The sequence below is a fragment of the Homo sapiens genome, chromosome 5, assembly GCF_000001405.40.
Source record: "Homo sapiens chromosome 5, GRCh38.p14 Primary Assembly".
NCBI lineage: Eukaryota > Metazoa > Chordata > Mammalia > Primates > Hominidae > Homo > Homo sapiens.
In genome coordinates this window covers 172443943-172462756 of record NC_000005.10, presented here as the reverse complement: position 1 = coordinate 172462756, position 18814 = coordinate 172443943, and the positions used below count along the sequence as shown (strand labels likewise).

At 50.6% G+C, this 18814-nt stretch overlaps 1 protein-coding gene across 3 annotated transcripts in view, besides 2 other annotated features; it reads left to right on the top strand.

The window, feature by feature from the left end:
* SH3PXD2B (SH3 and PX domains 2B) overlaps positions 8232-18814 on the top strand; it is a 129345-nt gene continuing 118762 nt past the window's right edge. For all 3 annotated transcript variants that reach the window (NM_001308175.2, NM_001017995.3, XM_017009351.2), the window contains exon 1: positions 8232-8479. In NM_001308175.2, coding sequence (NP_001295104.1) covers positions 8405-8479 — 75 coding nt within the window. In that variant the 5' untranslated portion in view covers positions 8232-8404. The remainder of the gene's footprint in view (positions 8480-18814) is intronic.
* Positions 8745-9266: an enhancer, noted in NCBI's record as "H3K27ac hESC enhancer chr5:171880495-171881016 (GRCh37/hg19 assembly coordinates)". NCBI's record gives its function as "activates a minimal SCP1, AML or CMV promoter by ChIP-STARR-seq in naive H9 embryonic stem cells {active_cell/tissue: H9 hESC(naive)}" and the evidence as "EXISTENCE:reporter gene assay evidence [ECO:0000049][PMID:30033119]".
* Positions 16118-16412: a silencer, noted in NCBI's record as "tiled region #6627; HepG2 Repressive non-DNase unmatched - State 23:Low, and K562 Repressive non-DNase unmatched - State 21:Repr". NCBI's record gives its function as "represses a minimal TATA promoter and a strong SV40 promoter by Sharpr-MPRA in HepG2 and K562 cells {active_cell/tissue: HepG2 | K562}" and the evidence as "EXISTENCE:reporter gene assay evidence [ECO:0000049][PMID:27701403]".

Here is an 18814-nt window from a genome sequence, read left to right as displayed (position 1 = left end):
TTATGGGTTATATTTATCGCTTATTGCCTGACTTCCCTGTTAGAATGTGAGTGCCACAAGAAAATGAATCTTCACCTGTTTAGTTCACTGATGTATCCCAAGCACCTCACACAGCACAGTGCCTGGCACGCGTCAGGCACTCTGTAAAGACTTGCTGACCTGGCGAACATAATTACTGCACTTTTGGATCATGTTCCGAAGCACTTTCTCTGAGTAGGAAAGGCTGAACCATAACCCTTATAGTCAACGGAACAAACTCATGGGGTAACAAAGCAGTTAGATTCCCCAGGAAATGCGGGGCATGGGAAGCACTGGGGAGCAATTATTAAACATTAATTGTTGCTCCTTGCGGGAGGCGGTGCCATGGCGGCCATGGCAGGCTGCCACCTTGTGGCTGAATAAGGAAATGCACCCAAGCCGCTCAAAGGTTGGTAACCTGTATCTTTTTTTTTTTTTTTTTTTTTTTTTGAGACGGAGTCTAGCTGTGTCGCCCAGGCTGGAGTGCAGTGGCGCGATCTCGGCTCACTGCGAGCTCTGCCTTCTGGGTTCACGCCATTCTCCTGCCTCAGCCTCCTGAATAGCTGGGACTACAGGCGCCCGGCACCACGCCCGGCTAACTTTTTGTGTTGGTTACCTCCATCTTTCAAGCACCCTTAGTCTTTCTGCAGGTATCTCCAGGCTTCTGTGAACAAGATGAGAGTCACCAGGCTTGGACACCGCAGAGACTACTGGAGTATATGCCCATTGACATGAAACATAAGCCAAAACTCTTTTGTGATCAATATGATCTTTCATACGTGCACACGTCCATTCATGATTTTCTCATTCATTCTTTCACCCATCCATCCATTCAACAAAGATTTGCTGAGCACACCAGAAACCAGATACTGTGGGATAGAAGGGTCCCTGCCCTTCTTGTGGAAAAGACACCCATCCACGTATTCAACAACTATTTACTAAGAGCCTGCTGGCACTGTGCCGGCATTGGGTGATAAAAACTAATGAGACAGACTGGACTGCCCTCAAGGGGAGTTCTAGTTGGGAGAGAAACAAGAAAAGGATGACAACAGCAATAAGTGCTGTGAAGGAAATACACAGGGAGGTCGGGGAGCTACTTTAGGGAAGGCCTCAGAAGAGCTGACATTTAAAGGAAAGCTTGAAAGATAGAGTGTTGGTGGGAACGCATTCCAGGAGGAGAGAACAGCATGTGCAAAGAGATGTGTGTTTTAAGAATAGAGAGAACGGCCGGGTGTGGTGGCTCATGCCTGTAATCCTAGCACTTTGGGAGACCAAGGCAGATGGATCACCTGAGGTCAGGAGCTCGAGGCCAGCCTGGCCAACATGGCGAAACCCCGTCTCTACTAAAAATACAAGAATTAGCCAAGCATGGTGGCGGATGCCTGTAGTCCCAACTCGGGAGGCTGAGGCAGGAGAATTGCTTGAGCCTGGAAGGCAGAGGTTGCAGTGAGCCAAGATCGTGCCACTGCACTCCAGCCTGGGCAACAGAGCGAGACTCCATCTCAAAGAAAAAAAAAAAAGAATGGAGAGAAGGTCAGAGTAGCTACAGGGGAGTGTGCCAGGGAGCAGGATGTTATGAGGTCAACAGGTCACGAGAGGCTAGTTCCTGCTGGGCCTTGGAAGCTGTGGTGAGGACTTTCTCTTTATTCTAAGTGCAACAGGAAGTCACTGGAGCATTTTAAGCAAAGGTGGGGTGGGGGTGGGGAATATGATCTGACTTGCCTTTTCGAAAGACCCATCTGGCTAGTGATAGAGAACAGCTTAGAGGACAGGGGCTGGTGTCTTCCTAGTTTTGTATTCATTCCCACCTACATCATGGAGGACAGTGGACACTAGTCCCTGTCCTCAAGGGAAATCTTGCCTCCATGGAAAGAACATAAGTCAAGCAGCCAGACAGATCTGAGTTCAAATCCCAGCTCCACAATTTTCCTGTGTTACAACCTTGGGCAACTTCTCTAAGCCTCGATTTTCTCACTGGAATGGGAAAAATACTATGCACACTGCAGACTTCTTGGGCATATTAGATACAGAAACTGATATAAACTATGTGGTGCTATAGACAGCGATTGGTTCGTGCTCAAGAAAAGCTATATTACAACACGCACATCCCTTTGAGAAGTGGGGAAAAGAGAGAGAGATGCAAAATTTTTTTTTCTTTTTTTGAGACAGAGTCTCGCTCTGTCGCCTAGGCTGGAGTGCAGTGGCACAATCTCAGCTCACTGCAACCTCTGCCTCCCAGGTTCAAGTGATTCTCCTGCCTCAGCCTCCAGAGTAGCTGGGACTACAGGTGCGTGCCACCACACCCAGCTAATGTTTTGTATTTTCAGTAGAGACAGGGTTTCATTGTGTTAGCCAGGATGGTCTCGATCTCCTGACCTCATGATCCACCCGCCTCCCAAAGTGCTGGGATTATAGGCGTCAGCCACCACGCCCGGCCAAGATGCACAATTTATAAACACAAAGTAGGTACACATGACGGGAGTACTGAAGGAACAAGGTCATGGAAACCTTGAATGCCAACCTAAAGCTCATGAACACGTGTGAGTGGTAGGAGCAAAGTGAGAGTTTCTGAGCAGGGGAGGATCCACAGAGCTTCCCTTTAGGAAGATACAATTGGCAGCCAGGAAAGAGAGAGAAGATGGAATGAAGGAGGCTGAGGTCTCTTTCTCCCTGTCCCTGAGCTATCACATCACTCAACCTCCTCCCCACCCACAAGGCTCTGCCCTGCAACCTGGGCACCTGGAATTTTGCCATAAGGCCTGCTTTCTTATAGCCTGTGGTCTGTTTCTCAGGACCACGTGTGCCGGGCCACTGAGCATTAGAAAGCGTGGCCACATTAGTTATGACCACCCCGCAATGCCAGCCAATCAGACAGCAGTCACGGAGGGAATCTCTTTCCAAGCCCAGCTTCTTCCCAGAGACTGTGGATGGAGAAAGGAAAAGAAGGAGCAGACCTCAGCTCCCTGGGTCTGGCTATCTGTCCTGGGGACTTGGGATTTGGGAGAAGTGCAGCCTGCCAGCCAGGCAGACGCCGAAATCATGAAAAGAGCAGAAGCTGATTCAGGTCGATGGACTCAATGCCCCTTGAACATGTGGTCCTGATCACAAATAAACCTGCCATGTGGAATTCTGCGGTCCGTTGGCTCCAGCATTGATTTTCTATGGTCTACAGCTCTCGAGCCTGCAAAATGCACTTCTAGAACAGAAATTTAGAGGAATGAAGTCAGCTAAGGTGGAATATTTACCTCCTTTTCCACCTTCTACACTCCACACCTCAATCAGGGGAAGTGTCAGTGCTCCCAGAACAGTGTGAAACAGGGAAATGGCGTGAAGAGGTCTGGGGAATGGGCAGGGGCAACAGCAAGCCTGGCCCTGGAGGTTCAATTAATGTCCCTGAGGACTTAGGTTAGAGTTCATGAGATAGAGATGAGTTCATTCAGCCCACAGCATCTCTTTGGGGCCTCTCTTTGCTAATTCTGTGCCAAAGGTGGGAAACTTGAGACAAATAAGGCCATTCCGGCTCCTTGGGAGCTTGGAGTCTGGCAAAGGAGTTGGATATTAAGAAAACAATCACAGCCCAGAATGACAGCTGGGACAAGGCACAGTGGCAGCTGGGTGGGGGGGAGACAATTACCCATCTGGGAGTCAGGGCTTCCTACAGGAAGTGATATTAGTGACATTCAGTATGGACTTTGAAGGCTGAATGAGAGTTCACCAGCAGACAAGGTGGGGAAATGAGCAGCTTATGCCAAGGCATGTCGGTGATGTTACCGGAAAAGGTCTCGATTAAAACCTCAAGAGAGGGTTCTTGGACCTCATGCAAGAAATAATTTGGGGCAAGTCCATAGAATAAAGTGAAAGCAAGTTGATTAAGATAGTAAAGGAATAAAGAATGGCTACCCCATAGGCAGAGCCCTGGCATGGGATGCTCGAGTCTAAGTATATTTATGGTTATTTCTTGATCACGTGCTAAACAAGGGGTGGATTATTCACGAGTTTTCTAAGAAAGGGGCAGGGATTTCTGGAACGAAGGGTCCCTCCTCTTTTTAGACTATATAGAGTCTAAAAGGAATCCTTGTCCAAACCTAAGGGAGAACTCGAATGGAAGAGAAATCCCACTTGGAATCCTATTTGAATTCCAAGTGGGATTTCTCTTCCATTCGAGTTCTCCCTTAGGTTTGGGCTCCCTGATGAACTCGAATTTGCAGAAGTGTTTTGTGTTTGTGACAAGGAACTAGTCCAGTTCCAGTGAATTGTAGTGACCATCTGGGTTGAGATTTTTATCAGCAGATAATCTGCAGTTCTCCCAAGCAGAGCCTAAATGGATCTTTCCAGTCTGAACAGCCAGCCTAAACTGCATCACCAGCCCACAATTCAGTTCTCCAAAAACTATGGTGGACACTCAGAAAAGCCCAAGTTGTCTAGGAGGTAAATGGGTGATATAGAAAGGTAAGAAGAAAAAAACCAATAACACAATTTTAAAATGCACAAAGGACTTGAATAGACACTTCTCCAAAGAAGATAAACAAATGGCCAACAAGCACATGAAAAGATGCTGAACATCACTCATCATTAGAGGAATGCAAATCGAAACCACAATGAGATTCCATTTCACATCCATTAGAATGGTTATTATCAAAAACAAATGAACGAATAAAGAAATAAAAACAGGCCAGACACAGTGGCTCATGCCTGTAATCCCAGCACTTTGGGAGGCCAATGCAGGAAGATCACTTGAGGCCAGAAGTCCAAAACCAGACTGGTCAACATAGTGAGATTCTGTCTCTACAAAAGGAAAATTTTAAAAATAGCCAGATGTGCTGGTGGGTGCCTATAGTCCCAGCTACCAGGGAGGCGGAGGCAGAGGATCCCTTGAGCCCAGGAGATCAAGGCTGCAGTAAGCCATGATCAAAATCACTGCACTCCAGCCTGGGTGACAGGATGAGACCCTGTCTCTTAAAAAACAAAACAAGGCCGGGGGCGGTGGCTCATGCCTGTAATCCCAGCACTTTGGGAGGTTGAGGGGGGTGGATCACCTGAGGTCAGGAGTTTGAGACCAGCCTGACCAATAGGGTGAAACCCCATCTCTACTAAAAATACAAAAATTAGCCAGGCATGGCGGGCGCCTATAGTCCCAGCTACTCGGGAGGCTGAGACAGGAGAACTGCTTGAACCCAGGAGGCAGGGGTTACAGTGAGCTGAGATTGCGTCACTGCACTCCAGCCTGGGAGACAGAGCAAGACTCTTTCTCAAACAAAACAAAACAAAACAAAACAAACAAACAAAACAGATAATAACAAGTGTTGGCAAGGATGTAGAGAAATTGGAACCTTTGTGCATTGCTGAGGGAATGCGAAATGCCACAGCCCCTGTGGAAGACAGTTTAGGGGCTCCTCAAAAAAAAATTAAACATAGAAGTATCACATGATCCAGCAATTCCATTTCTTGGTATATGCACAAAAGAATTGAAACCAGGGACTTGAACAGATATTTTTATACCAATGTTCACAGCAGCATTATTCAGAATAGCCAAAAGATGAAAACAACCCAAGTGACTGTTGACAGATGAATGGATAAAGAAAAAGTGCTATATACATATAATGGAATATTATTCAGCCATAAAAAGGAAATTCTGACACATGCTACAACATGGATGAGCTTTGAGGACATTATGCCGAGTGAAATAAGCCAGACACAAAAAGACAAACATTGTGTGTTTCCACTCATATGAAGTACCTAGCATAGTCAAACTCATAGAGATGGAAAGTAGAACAATGGTTGCCAAGGCCTGGAGGAGGTTGGGGGGCAGTGGGGGGGGACTCAGTGTTTAATAGGGACAGAGCTCCAGTTTAGGAAGATGAGAAAGTTCTGGAGAGGGATGGTGGTGACAGTTGCACAACAATGTGAGTGTACTTAATGCCACTCAACTGTATGCTTTAAACATGGTTGAAATGTTAAATTTTATGTTATGTATTTTTTACTACAATAAAAAAGTAAAACAAAGGAAAGATACGTAAAGATGCAGGGATAGCATCTTCTGCTACTGGTGGTTGTGGGGGGACCTTTGTCTTCCCCAGACAGAGGAGACGGACACAGCCAGCAGGACCCACCTCTGCCACCCATGGTGTGGCTGGGGGCAGGTCTCTCTGCCTCTCCGGAAAAACCCAGGAAGCTGGCTGATTCAGAGAGGGCCTCTAGCTTCTGCCTTCTTAGGAAGGCTTGGCTCCTAATAAGGCAATGCACGATGTGGCAGGGACGGAAAAGCAGACCTTCACTTCTTTGGACATTTCCAATGAGGCCTCAGGACCCTCTGGCTTGGGACTGTACTTCAGAAGAATGTGCCTTACAGGAATTACATGAGTGAGGGTCCTGGCACCGAACAGATGCCACCCTCAAGCTGGGTCCATGAAGACAGTTTAGTAAAGGGTCAATGTATACGGGTGTGGGCGGGGCTAAGGAAGCACCGAGGATGGCGTAGTACCCAGGGCTTGCAACAGCAAGACTGTCACTGTCCTGAGCAGAAAAGTGGCTTCAGGAACCCTGAGAGAGACCATGTGAGAAAGGGCACCTTTGGTAAAAACAATCGGGGAGGAGGGGCTTAGGGATTAAATACCCAGACCTCCCTCTCTCCTCTTGCCCTCAATCTCCTGCCAGGCCCTTCCACTGGCCAAGCCAAACAGGAAGACCAGGACAGAGAGCTGTCAGTGAAATCCACACAGGCCAGCCTCTGGGGCTGGAGCAGGATGGTAAAGTCTGGCAAGGAAGTCAGAGGAGCAAATGGAGGGGCGGATCCAAAGTGAATCAGCCCAAATCATCCACGTGGCCTGGCCGAGGCTGAGAGCCGTCCTACCCTGGATAAGCCCACCCTTTTCCAAAGGCTGATCCTGGACCGGGGTGGGAAGTAGCTCTGTCGTGGCATGGAGAAGAGTCGTACGGTTTGTTGAAAAGAGCCCCCACTTACTGGCTGTGAAAACACTGGCCAGGAGCCTAAACCTCCCATCCATGCATTATATATTCATTTATCCATTCATTCAGCCAACATCTCCTGAAAGTGACTCAGTGCCCAGCCAGTGCTAGGAGGCACTAGATGAAGAAACGAGGAGCTGCCCCAGCCACGGCAGCTTCAACGTGTGAGATCCACCTAGAGCCAGGCAGTGACGGGCTCCATCCACCGGCTCCCTGACTCTGGACCTTCACTGATGTAATTCCTGTAAGGCACATTCTTCTGAAGTACAGTTCCCAAGTCAGAGGGTCCTCAGGCCTCATTGGAAATGTCCAAATGTCTGGAGGCCGTCCTCTGTAAAAACACCTTTTCCTCCTAGAGTCTGCCTGAGGATGCAAAGACAGCATTTGTGAAAAGCAGGGGCCACGGGGCCCAGCGAGCAGTTAAGTGCTCCGCAACTGGAAATCGATGGCCTTGCTAACAAGCACCCAGCTGCCCCTCACACATAGTCACCACCCTTTTATCCCCTTTTGTTGCTTCCATGGCAATTACATTGCACGTATGCGCATTTGTTGCAGTTTTTCTCTCCCTCACTCCCCATGTCCCAGACTGAGGCTGGGGGAACCTGGTCACGGGTCTCTTGCTCCTCCTGAATCACCAGGGCTTGGGGTGGCTTTAGGAACGCCAGCACTCATACCATGGACTGCACTGCGGAATGGCTTCACATGCACTTAATCCCGGGCGCAGCACCGGCAGGCAGGCGGTACTACTGACACGTGCTACAACATGGATGAGCCTTGAGGACATTATGCCGAGTGAAATAAGCCAGACACAAAAAGACAAACATGGTGCTTGTACTACTAGGCTCATATTATAGACGAAGAGACCCAACCCAGAGAGGTTAAGCAACTTGCCGAGGGCACAGAGTGGAAAAGCGGCAAAGCCGGGATTCGAACCCGGGTGTCCGGCTCTCCAAACTGGCGGTGGATGGCGGCTGCCGGAGCGAGAGTGCTGGAATGAATCGATACGTCAATCAGTGAACGGGCGACGGGGTCAGTCCAGTCCCCTCCCCCGGCGCGGCGGCTCAGCACCGGGACAAAGGCCGGGCGGGGGCCGGACGTGGCCGGCGGGGTTCGCGCGCGGTGGGCGGGGGTCGGGGCCGGGCCCTTTAAGGGGGGCGGGCCGGCGGCGCGGGGGGCGGTGCGGGGGGCGGTGCGGGGGGCGGTGCGGGGGGCGGGCCGGGGGCGGGCGGCGGCGGCTGGGCCCGGCTGGAGTGCGCGCCGAGCGAAGGGCGGCGGCGGTGGCGGCGGCGGCTCGTGCTCGGCCCCGGCTGCGATTGCGCTCAGCTCCAGGTTCCCTGCCCGCGGCGGCGCGCCCCCAGCGCTCCCTGCACCCCGCGCCACCCGCACCCGCGCTCGGCCCGCTGCGGGCGGAGGAGCGGCCATGCCGCCGCGGCGCAGCATCGTGGAGGTGAAGGTGCTAGACGTGCAGAAGCGGCGGGTGCCCAACAAGCATTATGTGAGTGCGGCGCGGCCCCCACGCCCCCTTGAGCCCGCGCCCCGTCGGGGGCGACCGAGGGCCCCCGGCTTGGAAAACTTCTGCCTCCAGCGCTTCCCGTCCCCTCCTCCCCTGCTCTCCCCTCGGCTCTGCGGCGGCGCTGCCCGGGTCCCTCCCGACTCCTCCTCCCTCCCTCCCCTCCCCTCCCCGCTTTTGCCTCGTTCTCCCCCTCCATCCCTTCCTCCCGCCTCGCCCCCCTACTCGCCTCCCTGCGGCTCCTCTACCCCTTTCTGTCTTCTCCGTGTCCCCCCAACTCCCGTCCTGCTCATCTGTGGAAAAGTCTGGCTCCAGCCGGTGAGGGGTCTGAGACAGAAAGCGGGAGAGACAGAAGTGCCTGTTCTCAGGCCGCCCGCCTTGCCCCTCCTTGTCCAGAGGCGCGCAGACCCGCAGTCCCCAGCCACAGGTAGCCCCTCTAGGGTTCGCCGAATTTGACTCCGTTCTTTGGCAAGAGCCGGCCTGGGCGATGGAGGAGATCTCTGGGAATGGATCATTTGAGTGGCTACGCCTTTAAAGGGTTAAAAACATCCCCTGCCCCCTCTCTCCAGTAACTTCTGTTTTAAAATGTACGAAAGTTTTCTCCTGGCATCTCCCTCTGGAACATGGGAATCTTGTTTGGAGCTGGCAAGGACTTGAGAAAATGGGACAGTAGCGTCGTTTTGCAGATAGGAAGGCTGAGGCTCAGAGGTTGCAGGTCCTGGAACATAGAGCTGCATTCGGGCTTCCCTCCCTCCAGCAGGGGTGCCTGGGGCTGACGGTGACCTGCAGGTGGAAAGTGGCTTCCGCAGCAACCTAGGGGACACGTCTGCAGATTCAGGAGGCCCTGGGACCACCTCGCAGGTTCTAGGTGGAGATAAAGGGGATGTGGGGTGATGGGCCCACATGAGGCCTTGGGGAGGGCCTCATTACAGCAGGGAAGGGGGCTATAGTGTCTCTGGCGGTGAGAAGTGGGCAGTGGCGGAGCCTGGCTGCAGAGAAGTTAACCAGGAAGGGAAAAAGAGTAAGAGGGAGGGAAAAAATCCTAACAAAGAAGTATAGAACAATGAATAGAAAAGGGCGTTGGCTGGCTAAATTAAGCTCCTTGGCCTCCCTGGAAGTCGTCTTCAGATCTTTTTTTTTTAAGAACTAATTCTTACAAAGTAGATCTGCATGCCTTCCGTGAATAGCCTGTGAAATTCTGAAAGGAGATAGCCGGGAACCCACTCCGCGCTCTCCACAAGAAAGGGTGTGCTGTGTGAGTCTGTATTGTTATTGGCTGGGCAGCCAGTTATTCAGCCCTTAGCCAGGCGGTGGGAAGCTATTTCCTGGACCTGTGGCATCTTTATATAGAGTGAAGTTTCCCTTGATTCCAGAGCTGAGCTAAATTGTCTTTTTTTTTTCCTTCCTTTTTTTATTTTTTGTTAACTGTTTTCAAATGCTGCCAAATCTTAGTTTCTTGTTTGAGCCTGTTAGCGTGTAAGTGAGTTTGCCTCTTTGGCATGAAGACAGTTTTCACCAACATGGCAACTGGAGGAAGTCTGGAATTCTCCATGCCACCTCCCACCAGGTCTGTGAGCTGGCAAAAACGAGAATAGATACTGCCACCGAGGCCCGGCCATCATCGTCCACGCGCCCTCTTCTGGCCTCTCCTATCACGCCCATATCAGGCAGAGGGCCTTAAGCCCATTTGACAGATGAGGAAACCAGGGCTCAGCAAAGTGAGGTCCCACGCCTAAGGTCACAGTCAAGAGCCAAGCAGGGATGTAGATCCAGGCCCGCTGGACCCCAAAAGGACCACACCACTTCCCACATCCGGTACCCCTATAGTTTCTCTGAGCAAAGTCCTCTGAAAAACTGGGAAATCTCTCTTATCATTAGTGAAAACCTGGAAGCTTTTCATTCTCTGCTGTGTCAGCTCCATCCTTGCCAGTTTTTTGAAGGTTTTGCGCTTTGAGAACCGTCTTTTGAAGCTTTCAGCCACTTTTTGGGGGCCCCCTGAGACAAGTTTCTATGTTAAAACATAGATTGGGATTCAGATCTTGGCCTCCCAGGTTGTAGCTGTGTCACCTCAGCCTCAGTTTTTTCATCTGTGTAATGGGGATGGTGGTGTCCATTTCCTAGAGGTAGCAGCCGCATGACAGGCTGCCTTAGGGCATTCCTAAATGCCCTAAAGGCATAGCTCCCTGCCTGCCTGTCCTGAGGTATCTTGTCACTGATTGGGAACATGCCAAAGTCACATGGTAGGGGGATTCATCAAGAACTTGTTTTTCTGCATGTGGCTTTAGTCACTCATGTGATTCAAGAGGCCCTCTCCCTTCTAGCCCAGGCTTCTGGGTTCATCAGATGAGGAGGGGCAATGGGCTGAACTGAAGCCTGAGTCATCCACAGGAACAGAGAACATTTACTGCCTTGATGGCAGGGGGGCCAAACCCAATGGAAACAGATCCCTGTGGTGGGCGACCGCTGCTGTTCCCAAGCTCCACCCCAACCCCTCACACAATCTGGAAAGAGCGGGCATGAAGGCAGCTATTGGCAGGCCTGGACTTTGACTCCCATTTGGTATCCCTTTTTCTGAAGCCACCCTGGAGAGACAGCATCAGCTGGGGAGTTGAACTTTTCTGCTGTGTGACCTCGGACTGGTTGGTTTGCCTCTCTGAGCTCTAGCTTCTGTGTAAATACTGCTACATCCCTCAAGGGCAGAGTTTCTCAAACTCAACACTTTTGACATTTGGGGCTGGATCATTCTTTGTTTCAGGGCTGTCCTGTGGATTGCAGGATGTTTAGCAGCTTCCCTGGCTTCTACCCAGCTAGTTATCCCCCTTCCCAATTGTGACACCCAAAAGGCCTCCAGGCATTGATTGCTGCATGTCCTCTAGGGGGCAGCACCACACACATTCCCACCCCAGCCACTGCGCCATAGACTATAAAGTCAGTTTTTGAGAGTCCTCTTCACTACGCCCCCTAATTTCCCACTACCCCTCTCCCCATTTGCAGCCATCTCGGCCACTACCTGCTCATCACTCACTTGCCTGTGAGGGACAGGGTCACAGGTGCTGTAGATGTCATTGGAGAACTGCACCCGGAGTTCAGGGCTGCCCATCAGGGCTGGGCCACCTGCTCCCTCTGAAATGGTGCCTTCTCCATGATCAGAATGGCGTCCTCTCCAGCCCCAGCCTCAGTCACCCGCAGGCAGAGACATCATCCATGGGCCCAGGGGCAGAGCCACAGGCCAGGTCTGGAGAATGCAGGGCCAGAAGCTCCAGGTGCCTGTGAGATCCTGAGAGGCTGATGACAATGAACCATGATATTGTTTGGAGAGCCTTTCCCTGGAGCCACTGCCCTCTGTTGGAAGCAGGGAGATGAAGATTTGGGGAGCTCCTGCCTTTCTCTGCCAGCATCTTTCCTGCACTAGAGCCCGAGGGCTTGGGGATGAATGGAGAGGGGCTTTTGAGGGTGACATCCTGGGAGACCCTCCCCAGCTAGCTTGTCTTCAGCTTGGGGGGAGGAAGAAGAGCTCCAGGTAGGATTTGTGGGTTTTATTTGGATCACCCCATTTCCCGCACTGGAGAGGGATGTACAGAAGCATTAGTGTCTCGGCAGCAGGAGCCTGGAGATGCTGGCCTGCTCTGTCTCAAGATCTTTAAATGTTAAGAGGAGCAGGATGGTCGGAATATTTATGGCAGCAAGAATAACAGTGGTCAAAGTGTCCTCGGTAACCTGAGCGGGGCACTGGGTCCCTTTCAAATGGGTATATTTTCAATATAGTAATACAATATTCTGCACATATATAGATACATAGAATAAAATAGCTATCTATATCTATATACCTTCCAAGTCTTCACATCTCTATATTTTGCCAATTTGTTTCAAAACTTTTTTGTTTTTATTTTTAAGAAATAAAGCATCGCAGATGCAAACCCCCCGGACGCCCTCCCCGATGCTGCCCCTCCCCCATAAAACCACTATCCTGCATTTGATGTTGATCATTCCCATGCACTTATAAAAAATAGACTAATAGATAGGATTTTTTTTAACAGCTTTCTTGAGGTATAATTTACATACCATAAAATTCACCCATTGTAAGTGTGCAATTCACTTATTTTTAAAGTAAATTTGCAGAGCTATGCAACCGTCACCACAATGCAGTATTATAACATTTCCATCATCCCCAGAAAGATCCCCCACGCCCATTTGCCATCAATCCCCTTCCCACCACAGCCCATGGACCTTTTAATGTTTTTCCCTTTTTAACATTCCCTAAAATCTTGTATTGTCGTGAATGTTTTAAAACTATAAATAAGCACTTTTGAGATCTATGTCGATCCAGCTAGCTCCAGTTCGTTTTAACTGTCGCTTACTATGGCATTGATGAACATGCCCCTGTTTTTTCAAGCTCGTGCCGGGAACTGTTAGGATGTTTCCAGCAGTTGACTTTCTTACAGCTGCCTCCTTGCACAGGGTCCCACGGTCTTGGGGTTTGTGTGTTTTCAACTTTGCACTTACATCCTCAGGGTTCCCTTTGCTCTCTGTTCTTGCTAACACTCCGTATCATCAGACTTTTCAGTCTTTGCCAATCCAATAGGTGCAAAAGTGGTGCTTGTTCACACCAGTGAGGTTGAGCAGCTTTTCATACCTTTATCGGCTATCTGAGTTTCCTCTTCCGTGAATTACCAGTTTTTGTCCTTTGCCTGTTTTTCGATATATTGGGTTATTTGTCTTTTATTGATTGGCGGGATTTATTTATACATTTGGGATACTAATCCTTCAGGTAATTACATTAGTTTTTTGTTTTCCCCTGGAGGAGTCTGCAGATTCAGAGAGGTGGAGGCATGTGCCTGAGGTCACACAGCAAGGAGTGGCTGCGTGGGAATTGGGCTACATGCCCTTGTGTCTGGGAGAAACATAGGGGGATCCTGTGATTCCACCACGGAGCTGACTGACCTTGGATGGGTCACTTAGGCTTCTGGACCCCGGTTTCCCCTTATATGAGATACTGGGGCCATCCCAGGCCCTTCTCTGATCTCACCATTTATTCAGCCCCGACTGAAGAAGTGCAAGCCACCGCCAGCCCTTAGTCATTCTCACCCCAGGAAGCTCTGGGTAGATGGTGCCCCTGGAGTGATGGCTCTGCAGGCTCTGTACTGCCAGCCCTGAAACCTCCCTCTTTGATTTGCCAGGCTCCAGAAGCCTAGGGGTCACTGTGCTGAGCAGCTGAGTTTGGAAGAGTAGATTGCGCCCTTAGTAGGCATTACTGGCATTCTCAGTCCCTTAAGGGGCCTCCAGCAGGTGAGCCCAATGGTCTAGAACAAACCATGGATCTGCTGCCCAAATTAGCTTCATTATCTTCTCCAGCCCCCAGTTTCCTCCCTCTCCTCCTATCCCTGGCACCTGTTTTGTGGGAACACAGAGGGCAGGGCAGCAAAGTTGAGTGGAAAGAACTCGGGTGTTAGAGGTAAACATCTGGGTTCAAGTTCTTCATGGCCTTGGACAACTGGCCGAATGCCCCCCCTTAGTTTTTACATTTGTAAAATAGGTGCAGTGACTTCCTTCTGGGACGATTGTGCAGGCTTTTGGTGATGTATGCACGGAATCTGTGCTCCAGCCCTGCTGCTGGGAAGAATAAAACTGCTAGCACATGTCTTTCCAACCCACCGTTACCTTCATGATGAAAAGACCTGGCTTTGAATTCTCTTCAAGCGCTCCTGAGCGGGGTGACCTTGCACTATGTGAGGATCTGTAAAATGGGAATAGTCATAGTACCTAGCACACAATGCTCAGCCTCATGGGTATAAAAGGCACTCAATAAATCACTTGAACCTGGGAGGTGGAGGTTGCAGTGAGCCGAGATTGCGCCACTTCACTCCAGCCTGGGTGACAAAGGGAGACTCTGTCGGCAAAAATAAAATAAAGGTACTCAATAAATGGTAGTCATGAAAAGTACTATTGATGATAATAATAGTCGTGATCTAAATTTCTGCACCGCTTTCCGGCCTGCTGCCCAGAAGGCACACTATGCAGTTTTCGTGGTCTTTTCATTCAAGAGGCATTCTGGGGGATACCTGCCCCAGGCTGGGCCCATGCTGCTGCTGGGATAGGCCCCCGGGAGCAAGGCAGAGCCATTCCTACCTATTGCACAGGAGAGTTCTTGTCCTCTACTGTGTCTGTGTCACAAGAGTTAGGGCCCTCTTAAGGCCCCTTGGGTAGGTTTTTCTTTAACGACTATTGCTTTCTTTGGATTGGGAAAAAGTAGGTGCTTGTCACACAGGCAAGCTATGTATGCCAAGTGAGTGGCAAGCAAAGGGCATTTCTGTGTTGATCTGGGATGCTCTGCTAGGGACCTGGTCAACCATGCTCCCCCATCCCATCCCCCACCCCACCCCATAGGTGCAATGCACCAGCCCCTCAGCTCACCTGGCCGGTCATCCTCAATGGGAGAAGTCCCAGCCTGCTCTGGTGCACTCTGTGCTGCTGCAGGTGTCTCAGGGTCAAAGGAGGTGGAGCAGTCATATCTTCAAATTATTTAAATGTCACTTTAGTTCAGACTTTGAATCAATGCCATTCTGCGCCTCTAGTGGGCTGAGAAAGTACATCAGACAGCTTGGGTTCAAATCCCTGCTCTGCCACCTACCAACTGTGTGACCTCAGACAAGCCTCTGTGCCTCAGTTTCCTCATCTATAAAATGAGGATAAAAATAGTTCCAATTTCATAGGGCTAATGTGAGAGTTAAAGGGGCCTAGCATGTAATTGAGGTTTGATAATGGTAAACTATATTAGGAGTGTACAAACCTAGTATCATTTATGATCATAAAAGGTTGGTAACTACTTAAAAGTGCATCAGTAGAGATGCAAAGATAAAACGTGCTATATCCATGAGCTAGAATACCATCAAGATGGTAAAACTGTGTTCCATCTTCTATCACAAGCATATTAAATAGCTAAAGCTGGTTTGCAAAATAGCATGCTCAGGCTGATTTTCACCTGATTACAAACGAAGGATGAAAATATGAGTCTGTGTAAGCTCAGAAATACAGCTGATAAAATGTCATTCCTTTTTTTTTTCTGCTTGTCTGTGCTTTTCTGTGCTTTTCTCTTTTCCGAATGTTCTGCAATGAACACATATTCTTGTTTTTAGTAAAAATAAAAAAACAGCAAATGCTCATTTTTAAAAAGAAGCTGCGTCAAGCTGGGGCAGCTCCAGCCAGATCCCCACATCCTGCTGCCCCATCCTGTCCCAAAGGATTCTCCTGTCCTCCTGAGGCAGGCACCAGCCTTCAGAGGCTCTTTCCCCACTCCTGCCACAGAGGGAGGTCTCTGGATGTGGCTTTCCAGTCCGTGAGCTAGAGAACTAGAAAGCGATGAGTTTAAAATACCACGAGGGAAGGTCTGGGCAGATGCTTTCCTAGTTAAAATGTTCCTTGCTCAGCAAGTCCAGGCCCTTCCCCATCGTGCTTGCAGCCAAATAGGGTTGGGAAGAATTGTAGGCTCAAGTTCTGCAGATCCAGCATGGTCTGTACCCTAAGGTCACAGGGCACCAGAAACGTCATCCAGGTTAGAGGTGTGCCCTACAGCCCACTTCCCTGGGCGTTTCATGCATCCTCTTGCCTCCCACCGGAGGTGCAGGCAAGTCGGCAAGCAGCCCAGTTATCACACTGCCAAACAAGGAAGGCTAGAGGGACTGTGCCGTTCCCGCCGTGACACTCACGTCCTGCTTGCAAATTGTGCATCCTTTTTTCCTCGGAGAAAGAGCTGTGGTAGCGGGAATGTCAGGGGAGCAGTCTTGCTTTGCATGACTCAGTTTTCCCCTTCCTCTTGGCGATGAAGCCAGCTGTGGGTCCCTGCAGCTGCAGGAAAGGGAGCCACTGCCCCCCGAGCAGCCTGTTAGTCTGGTGGGTTCAACCAGGGAGTTGTGAGCACCCACAAGTGGCCAAAAGAGAAGACAGGTTTATTGAGAAGGCCATGTGGCTTCTGCAGGCAGGGCCTGGGTTCTAATTTGGTTCTGTCATTCACTCACTGTTGGCCCTGAGCCTTCTCTGGGCAGTAGGGGGCTTTGTTGGGGAGATCCAATGAGCTTTTATGCAGAATGCCTGAGGAGGGGTGCTGCTGGCCTGGGTAATGCCCAGAAGCCGAGGCTCTGTGGTCCCTATCCTAGAGCCCTTGTCGGGGGGGTCAGCTGGCCCCTGGGTGGAGCTGGCATCCTTTGCCCACTGACGTGACACGGGAACCAGCTGACATGACAGACTCAGGAGGCTCAGTGCCTCCAGCAGTGGGCCGGGGGCAGGGCTCGTGTGGCTGCCTCCTCCGGACTCTGCCTCTGCAGAAGCCTGCGGACCTGAGCTCCGCCACAAGCCATCGGCCTCTGCCCCATTCTCCAAACTGCAGGACTTTCTCCTCCCTTATTTGCTGGCCCAGATGCACACCTGCAGGCGGGCATGACTCTCAGCCCAGGGTCTTCTTCAGGTGGTAAAGGGAGGAGGGGCTGTGGGCAGAGCTCACCTGCCTGCTTCTGCAGCCCTGTCTCAGGCTTTCCCAGGGCTGAGGGTGGCCAGAGTTAGCAAATGAAAATGCAGAATGCCCAGTTCAATTTCGGTTTCAAATAAACATGCAATATTTGGGACATATTTATGAGAAACAATTATTTGTTGTTTATCCGAAATTCAGATTTTACTGGTCATCCTATTCTTTATCTGGCAAAGCTGCCAGAGCTACCACTTTGGAAAAACAGCAACCACCACCAAGAAGCCTTCATTATAAGGGCTGGGCATGGGAGTTCACGCCTGTAATCCCAGCATCTTGGGAGGCTGAGGCGAGAAGATCGCTTGAGCCCAGGAGTTCAATACCAGCCTGGGGAACATAGTGAGACCTCATCTCTACTAAAAATCCACAAAATTAGCTGGGTGTGATGATTCTCGCCTGCAATCCCAGCTACTTGAGAGGCTGAGGCAGGAAGATCGCTTGAGCCCAGGAGATGGAGGCTGCAGTGAGCCATGTTTGCGCCACTGCACTCCAGCCTGGGCGACAGAGATGACATGTGGATAGACAAAGCAGGGATTGAGACCTCAAGAAGGTCAGTGTCCTGACAGGCAGACAGGTGCCCTGGGCTTCTGGGGGACCTGGTCCTGGGGAAGGCAGCACTGCAGAGGTGACCTGAGGCCAGTCACAAAGCATGGGAGGGATGCTGCCAAGTGGGCAAGGGTGAAGGAGTTACAGGTAGAGAGAACAGGAGGGCAAAGAAATGGAAACCCTGGCACATGGCGTGTTTGAAAAAGCAGAAGAGGTTTGAATAATGGAGATGAAGCTCTGTGGGTAGAGGGGCCAGAAGGACCTGGGGGCTCCTGGCTGACCTGAGAACCACAGGAGAGAAGGCATGGTCCCCCCCCAGGAAGGCCATAGCTCCAGTACAGCACACGAAGGCTGAGGCCAGGGCTCGGGGCCAGAGGCAGTCACTGGAGTAGCGGGAGGAGCTGGTGCTCAGAAGCACTTCCCCAACTTGAGGGGTGGGTAGAAGAGCCCTTCATGGGTGAATCCAGGGAGCAGAGCACAGACAGACCCAGGAGCCCCTGTCCAAATGAGCCATGTGCAGACAGTGGAGATGGAGGGAGAGAGGGAAGGTTATTAGAGGGGACTCTGCAAGCCAGTAGTAATCCTGAAATTCCAGGGCAATTAAATAACTCCAAATTTGTTTTGTTCTCAAGATTCAATAGTAATTTTTTATTCTTAACAGTATAGAAGAGCTATCATTTGTCTAAGCGCTTACTATGTGCTCAAGGCTTTTCATGCTTTATGTCTTTGAATCCACATAGCAGCTCTGTGAGATAAGGAGTATTAGTCAGGATTCTGGGATTGCATGTGACAGAAACAGACCTGGCTAACTTAAGCCAAACAGAATGTATTGGAAAGGTGGGGCTGTCAGAATCAGGGGGAAAGCTCAGCACCCAGTCTTGGAAAGAACGTGGGCAGCTGGAGCCATCCAGGGAGTGGGAACTCCAGTAGGTATTAGGACATCACCAGGCAGGCAGCTGATCCATCCATTTTCAGACCTTTTAGCCACTCAAGAGTCCAGATCCAGGAGAGACTCTGACTGGCCCAGCCGGATTACCTGACCCTATGGGCCAGGTGTGAGTGGGATATTAAGATCGACGGTCCCACTGAAATCACTGGTAGTGAGAGGGATAGTTGTGGAAGGAGATTCAGGGCGCTGTTGCTGGGAGAAGGGGGCATGGAGCTTGGACAGGCAAAAACAATACATGTCTGCTACATGGATGCTGTTATTAGCCCATTTCACAAATGTGGAAACTGAGGCTTAGAAAGGTGAAGCAGTT